Source organism: Homo sapiens, chromosome 3, assembly GCF_000001405.40.
Source record: "Homo sapiens chromosome 3, GRCh38.p14 Primary Assembly".
Taxonomy (NCBI): Eukaryota; Metazoa; Chordata; class Mammalia; order Primates; family Hominidae; genus Homo; species Homo sapiens.
This window is the reverse complement of record NC_000003.12, coordinates 109,366,194-109,374,374: the sequence shown is the minus strand read 5'-3', so window position 1 is coordinate 109,374,374 and position 8,181 is coordinate 109,366,194. Positions and strand designations below refer to the sequence as shown.

Sequence of the window (8,181 nt, the reverse complement as noted above, 5' to 3'; positions counted from 1 at the left end):
ACCCAGGAGGTGGAGGTTGCAGTGAGCCGAGACTGTGCCATTGCACTCCAGCCTGGGTGACAAAGTGAGACTCCATCTCAAAAAAAAAAAAAGAAAAAAAAAACGGAAGGAAATTGAGATTGCTGAACTACTGTAACCAAAAGAAAGTAATGCAAACAATGTCTGTCCTCTTCTGCTGAGATGACTTGAAAACAGGAATGAGACATTGGAAAACAATAATCATACTTAATGGAAAGTCTTCATAATCCTGTAGTATAACAAGCTGCCTCTTTCACTTGTCTCTAACAAAGTATACAGAAATGCCATTTAAATATCATGTATACTTGACTGCAGGATTTTTTCCATTCGATCATTTCTGAAATCCAAATGTACCATTCAATTAATGTATGCATGTGGTGTATAAGTAAAACATCTATGACTAAATCAGCAATGAGTCTTACAGCCATTGATATCTCAGGATATATATTATGCCCCATCACACTAAGGCATTCACCTAGCTGTTTCTACTAGAAGGCTATAATAATAAAATTACAAGGCCTTCAGAGGAAAGACAATCATAGAATTCTAAGCAATGTGTTAGTGTGTAAGGCTTTAAATTGGAGCCATACAGACTTATTCAGCAATCCTTTCACTATGACTAAATTACTTTTGGGAGTAACTCCCTCAAGTTAGCAGACCAGAAAATACATTTATTCATTAAGCAAACTGTTGTATCATTAATATATAAATATAAAAAAGTCATGTTAGACTGTAAAAACACCAAAACAAAGTGCACCTAATTCTTAATAATTAGATAATATATAAATATAAAATTATATTTTGCATGTTATATTTTTGGGTTTGTTTAAAAGGTAGATATCACAATGAACACATATTTTGCAGCCTGCTTTTTCAAATTGCCACATAATATCCAAAGGGTGGCTATTCCACAGACATTTCCCAAAGTAATGAACATTTTTATTGTTTCTAATTTATTGCTATGTCAAATGTACTTCAGAATATCTCTAGAGGGCATGTTAAAAAATGGTATATCCTGGTTGCCTCTAGGAAGAACAAATAGTAGAACAGACACAAAGGTTTGAGAAAGATCTTTACTTTTCCCTGAATAACCTGTTATACATTTGAATTTTTTTATGTGAAAATAATAATTACATTTAAAAAAAGGTTTAAATACAATATCAGTATTGTATAGCCATTAAAATTGAAATACACAAAGAAAAGCTGCAATGAACTTGCTTTGTTGGATGTATTCTTTGGTTGCAATCTACCAGGCACTGTGTTAAGTGCTGTATGTACATTGTCTCATTTTGCCTCACTTAATCTTCATAGTAATCTTATAAGACAGGTGTTGGCCCTACTTTTACAGATAAGAAAATTGAGTGTGAACAAGTTATCTTCTCAAGTCACAGAGGGAGGCTGTGTGTAACAAAACCAGAATTTAAACCAGATTTTTCTGGCTCAAAAATCCTTGCTCTCAGCCACTGACCTGTAATAACTACTCTGTTTCCAGAAAATGCTAAACTCTCCTACCTCTGGCTGTGCTACAACTTTAGTGAATCACTTGCAGGACTCTGGTGAACTAGATTTTCCCATGTCTGTGGACTTTTGTCTTTTCTGATTACAAGCCTTCCCCTCTTGATTAATCCCTACCTTTCCTTCAATGGTCAAGGTTGATCTCTTGCAATCTTTCCCTAAGCATCAGACTTAGTTGAAAGCCTTCTGTCTGCCTTTTGCAGCATTCTGTGCTACCAATGTGTTCATTAACATATCAGATGACTTGTATGTCTCCCAGCCAAATGGCACATTCTTAGGGTCAGAAAAGTCTAAATATTCCTCATATTACTAGTCCCAATGTTTGTAATATTTAGCACATTTATTTAGCTAGTAATATTTAGCCTCAATCACTATATGCTTAATTCAAGTTAAGGACTAATATATACAAAGAATCATAGAATGTTGGAGCTACTTCAGTGGTTTCCAACCTCAGCTGCACACTGTAACTTCAGGAGTTTTAAAAATAGATTATCTGGCTTACCCTAGACTTAATAAATCAGAATATCTACAGGTGGAAATCCACAATCTATATTGTTTAAATGGCCTTCCAGTTGATGCCAAGCTTGGGAATCTCTGATCTACTCTACTTGTCTCATTTTATGGAATATGAAGATGGAGATCTAGAGGATAAATAACTGGCCAATGTCACAAGCAGAAGTAAAGATAGGACTTGCACTCCAGTCTCTTGATTTGTAGCTGCTTCACTTAATCACTCAAAAACTATTTATTAAATATCTTTGGCCGGGCACAGTGGCTCACACCTGTAATCCCATCACTTTGGGAGGCCAAGGCGGGCGGATCCCGAGTTCAGGAGTTCGACATCAGCCTGGCCAAAATGGTGAAATGCCGTCTCTACTAAAAATACAAAAATTAGCCAGGCATGGTGGTGCATGCCTGTAGTCCCAGCTAGTCGGGAGGCTGAGGCTGAAGAATCATTTGAACCCGGGAGCCAAGGTTGCAGTGAGCTGAAATTGTGCCACTGCACTCCAGCCTGAGCTACAAAGTGAGACTCAATCTCAAAAAAAAAAAAAAAAAAAAAAAAAAAGGTGTATATATATATGGTGAAACCCTGTCTCTACTAAAAATACAAAAATTAGCCGGGCGTGGTGGCGGGTGCCTGTAGTCCCAGCTACTCGGGAGGCTGAGGCAGGAGAATCGCTTAAACCCAGGAGGCAGAGGTTGCAGTGAGCCGAGATCACGTCACTGCACTCCAGCCTGGGCAACAGAGCCAGACTCCGTCTCAAATAAATAAATAAATAAATAGATAAAAGAGTACCTGGTGGTATAAAGCATATATATATAATTGGGGGACCTGCCTTACTTTTGGGGGTTGAGGGTAGTCACATAATCTTACTTAAGATGAGCTCTCTGAGCTCTGGAGAGAACATACAGAAATAAATAAAAAATATTATCTCAAGATAATCTTCGGCCCATGGGTTCTCTATGAGACATCTTTTAATTTTCTGTTTTCACTGTGATGACAACCTTAAAAATTAACAGAAACACTTTCTGGATCATTTTTTATAACTGAGTTCTGCCCGAAGCTCACATTGAACATGTGTGTTTTTTACTGAGTTGGCCACAAGTAGTACAACTGTAGTAATCTCAGGCTAAGGTGAAAAGAAGATATCAACTTAGGCCAGGCATGGTGGCTCATGCCTGTAATCCCAGCACTTTGGGAGGCCGAGGCAGGCAGATCACAAGGGAGTTCGAGACCAGCCTGGCCAACATGGTGAAACCCCATCTCTACTAAAAATACAAAAATTAGCCAGGTGTGTTGGTGCGCACCTGTAATGCTCAGCTACTTGGGAGGCTGAGGCAGGAGAATTGCTTGAACCCGGGAGACAGACGTTGCAGTGAGCCAAGATAGCGCCATTGCACTCCAACCTGTGTAACAGAGCAAGACTCCGTCTCAGAAAACGAAAAGAAAGAAAGAAAGGAAAGGAAAGAAAGAAAGAGAATAGACTAATTTAATATGTATGTGTTGTATTCCTGCCAAGAGAAGATCAAATGTGCATCATGAATGCTGAAACAAAGACGGTTTCACAGTAGTTCACATAGAGGAGAGTGGTGAATGGTGTGTGTCATGACACAGCACCTATAGACCAGTCATGTTGAGCTCAAAAAGACCTGTAATCCCAAAGTGCTGGGATTACAGGCGTGAGCCACCGTGCCTAGCCATATGGTCTCTTTCTTTTTAGTTAATAGCCATTAAGTAAAATTTATTTGGGGTGTGATGTTGTATATGAACTGTGAACATAGGAGTTATAATTTTATATTTGTATCCAATCAGGCATGGTGGCTCACACCTGTAATCCCAGCACTTTAAGAGGCTGAGGGTGGATCACTTGAGGTCAGGAGTTCGAGACCAACCTGGCCAACATGGCAAAACCCTGTCTCTACTAAAAATACAAAAATTAGCCAGGCATGGTGGCACCCACCTGTAATCCCAGCTACTTGGTAGGCTGAGACAGGAGAATCACTTGAACCTGGGAGGCAGAGGTGACAGTAAACTGAGATCACACCACTGCACTCCAGCCTGGGCAACAGAGTGAGACTCTGTCTCAAAAAAATAAATTTTATGTTTGTATATATTTTATGTTGTAATAAAATGAATCAATATTTGGACACAAGCATATATATATATTTTTCTTTAAACTGATGCCGGCTGGGTGCTTACATCTTTAATCTCAGTGTTTGGGAGGCCAAGGCATGAGGATCACTTAAGGCCAGGAGTTCAAGACTGGGCCTGGACAACATAGCAAGACCCCATCTCTTAAAAAAAAAATGTATTAGCTGGATGTGGTGGTGCACACCTGTAGTCCTAACTACTATGGAGGCTGAGGCAGGAGGATCACTGGAGCCCAGGAGTTCAAGGTTACAGTGAGCCATGATCATACCATTGTACTCCAGACTGGGCAATAGAGTGACACCCTGTCTCAAAAATAAATGAAAAAGTAAATAATAAACTGATTCATACATTACTCACTAGGCAAGGGGGCAGATGTGTGCACATGTATTGGAGGGTCAGTGGGAGGAAGCATCCAGCAGAATTAAAAAGGTTCATAGGGAACCTAGGGAGAACTCCATAAGTGGCCCTGAGCATGGTTGGTGCAGAACCAGCAGAGGGCAGACAGGGCAGGCCAGCTGCTGACATGGGCTACTAAGAGGAATTTAGCCTTTTTCCTAAGAACAATGAGAAGCCCTTGCTCCTCACATTACATTAACCGTTCTGGAAATCTATTTCTGCTGTGGCATTTAAAATTCTAAAATAACTTTTTTTTTTTTTTTTTTGAGACGGCATCTAGCTCTGTTGCCCAGGCTGGAGTGCAATGGCACGATCTCGGCTCACTGCAACCTCTGCCTCCTGGGTTCAAGCGAGTCTCCTGCCTCAGCTTCCCGAGTAGCTGGGATTACAAGCGCGCACCACCACACTCAGCTAATTTTTTTTTTTAATTTTTAGTAGAGATGGGGTTTCACTTTGCTGGTCAGGCTGGTCTCAAACTCCCGACCTCAGGCGATCCGCCCACCTTGGCTTCCCAAAGAGCTGGGATTACAGGCGTGAGCCACTGCACCCAGCCACCACATCCATGAGTCACATTTTTTGTGAACTCCTGTGCATGCATACAATTAAATTTGTTGTATTTCTGTATTAATCTGTCTTTTGTCAATTTACTTTGCAGAGACCCAGCGCTGGACCTAAGATGATAGAGGAAAAAAAAAAAATTCTACCTGCAATTCATGGACTTTCTCTATAAAATACAGTAGCTACAACCAGGCGCGGTGGCTCACGCCTGTAATCCTAGCACTTTGGGAGGCTGAGGCAGGCAGATCACGAAGTCAAGGGTTCGAGACCAGCTTGGCCAACATGGTGAAACCCATCTCTACTAACAATGCAAAAATTAGACAGGCGTGGTGGCGCATGCCTGTAATCCCAGCTACTCAGGAGCCTGAGGCAGGAGAATTGCTTGAACCTGGGAAACGGAGGTTGCAGTGAGCGGAGATCATGGCCACTGCACTATAGCCTGGGCGACAGAGCAAGACTCTATCTCAAAAAAAAAAAAATACATTAGCTACTATAGCTACTATCGATATGTAGCTATTAGGCACTTAAATCAGAAATTGTCTCAGTTGAGATGTTCTGTAAGCATAAAATACAGCCTAAATTTCAAAGACTTAATACCAAAAAAGAATACACCTTATTAAAATATATTTTTTTGATTACATGTTTCAATGATATTATTTTGAATATATTGTGGTAAATAAAATATATTATTAAAACGTTTTCTTTTTTTTCCTTTTTTAAAAATGTGGCTACTAGAAAATTTAATATTACATATATGGCTTACATTATATGTCTATTGGACAGACCAATATATAATCTTCATACTAGTACATGCATAATAATTTTTAAAACTTTTAAAACGTGAGGTATGTACAACTGGTGCTACAGAAATGCAAAGGATCATGAGAGACTACTATGAATAACTACGCCAACAAATTGGATAATTTAGAAGAAATGAATAAATTTCTAGCATACAACTTAATCAGACTGAGTCATGAAGAAATAAAAATTTTTAACAGAAAAATAATGAGAAGATTGAAGCAGTAATTAAAAAAAATCCCAACAAAGAAAAGCCCAGGACTAGATGACAGAGTTTGAAGAATTAACACCAATCCTCTTCAAACTCTTCTAAAAAATTAAAAAGAAAGGCAACCGGGCGCAGTGGCTCACGCCTGTAATCCCAGCACTTTGGGAGGCCGAGGCGGGCGGATCACGAGGTCAGGAAATCGAGACCATCCCGGCTAACATGGTGAAACCCTGTCTCTACTAAAAATACAAAAAATTAGCCAGGTGTGGTGGCGGGCGCCTGTAGTCCCAGCTACTAGGGAGGCTGAGGCAGGAGAATGGCGTGAACCCGGGAGGTGGAGCTTGAAGTGAGCCGAGATCGTGCCACCGCACTCCAGCCTGGGTGACAGAGTGAGATTCCGTCTCAAAGAAAAAAAAATAAAAAATTAAAAAGAAAGGAACACTTCTAAACTCATTTTAAGCCACCAGCATTGTTCTCATACCAAAGCTAGATAAAAACATTATAAGGAAAGAAAACTACAGGCCAATATTCCTAGTGAAAATAAATATAAAAACCTTCAACAAAACCTAGCAAAATGAATTTAACAGCACATCAAATGATTATATAACATGATCAAGTGGTTTGTACATGGCACCTTTGTAACTGGCACCGTTGTGCTTATGTACATGCTAATGCATTTAATCCTCACAAGAGCCCAGTGAGACAGGCACTATTACTATCCCTATTTGCAGATGAGTAAACTGAAGCACAGACGGTACACAGAACATATTTGGAAGAATGTACAAGAAACTGACAACGGTAGTGGCCTTTGAGGAGCAACTGGGGGATTAAGGTCAGGAATAAAAATGAGACTGATATTCACTGTTTATCTTTTTGTGCAGATTGAATTTTGTTACAATGTGAATGAATATATGTTACCACTTTAATTTTTTTTTTTTTTTTAGATGGCGTTTCACTCTGTTACACAGGTTGGAGTGCAATGGCGCTATCTCGGCTCACTGCAACCTCTGCCTCCCCGGTTCAAGCAGTTCTCCTGCCTCAGCCTCCTGAATAGCTGAGATTACAGGTGCCCGCCATCATGCCCAGCTGTTTTGTTTTTTGTATTTTTAGTAGAGACAGGGTTTCTCCATGGTAGTCAGGCTGGTCTTGTACTCCCGACCTCAGGTACTCTGCCCACCTCAGCCTCCCAAAGTGCTGGGATTACAGGCGTGAGCCACTGCCCCTGGCTTAATTTTTTTAAATATAAAAATATATTGGCTCTTATATTACCTGTTTTTCTTACAAACAGAGTAATAATAATAATAAATAAGGAAATGCGGCCAGGTGCAGTGGCTCACACCTGTAATCCCAGCACTTTGGGAGGCATAGGTGGGTGGATCACCTGAGGTCAGGCGTTTGAGACCAGCCTGGCCAACATGGTGAAACCCTGTCTGTAGTAAAAATACAAAATTAGCCAGGCATGGTGGTGCATGCCTGTAATCCCAGCTACTCCAGAGGCTGAGGCAGGAGAATCACTTGAACCTGGGACGTGGAGGTTGCAGTGAGCAGAGATCGCGTCACCTGCACTCCAGCCTGGGTGACGGAGGGAGACTCTCTCTCAAAAATAAGTAGATAGATAGATAGATAGATAGATAAAAATAGATTACAAAGGAGCTGAAAAATCCTATTGTCCAGTAACATTGTAGCCATCATAATGTTATAGTGCATGTGTTTCTGGTGATGTTGGTATAAAAAAACCTACTGAACTGCTAGTCCTATAAAAATATAGAATGTACAATTATGTACAGTACATACTACTTGATAATAATAAATGACATTACTGGTTTATGTATTTACTATACTATACTTTTTATTATTATTTTAGAGTGTACTCTATTAAAAAAAAAAGTGCTAACTGCAAAACAGCCTAAGGCAAGTTCTTTAGGAGATATTCCAGAAGAAATTTTTATTATAGGAAATGACAGATCCATGCATATTATTGCCTCTGAAGACCTTCCAATGGGACAAGATGTGGAGGTGGAAGACAGTGATGTTG

The 8,181-nt window shown here is 39.9% G+C and overlaps 1 annotated feature.

The window, feature by feature from the left end:
* Nucleotides 7,294–7,461: a silencer, noted in NCBI's record as "fragment chr3:109085761-109085928 (GRCh37/hg19 assembly coordinates)". NCBI's record gives its function as "represses an EF-1alpha promoter that drives an FKBP-Casp9 reporter gene in an ReSE screen in K562 erythroleukemia cells {active_cell/tissue: K562}" and the evidence as "EXISTENCE:reporter gene assay evidence [ECO:0000049][PMID:32094911]".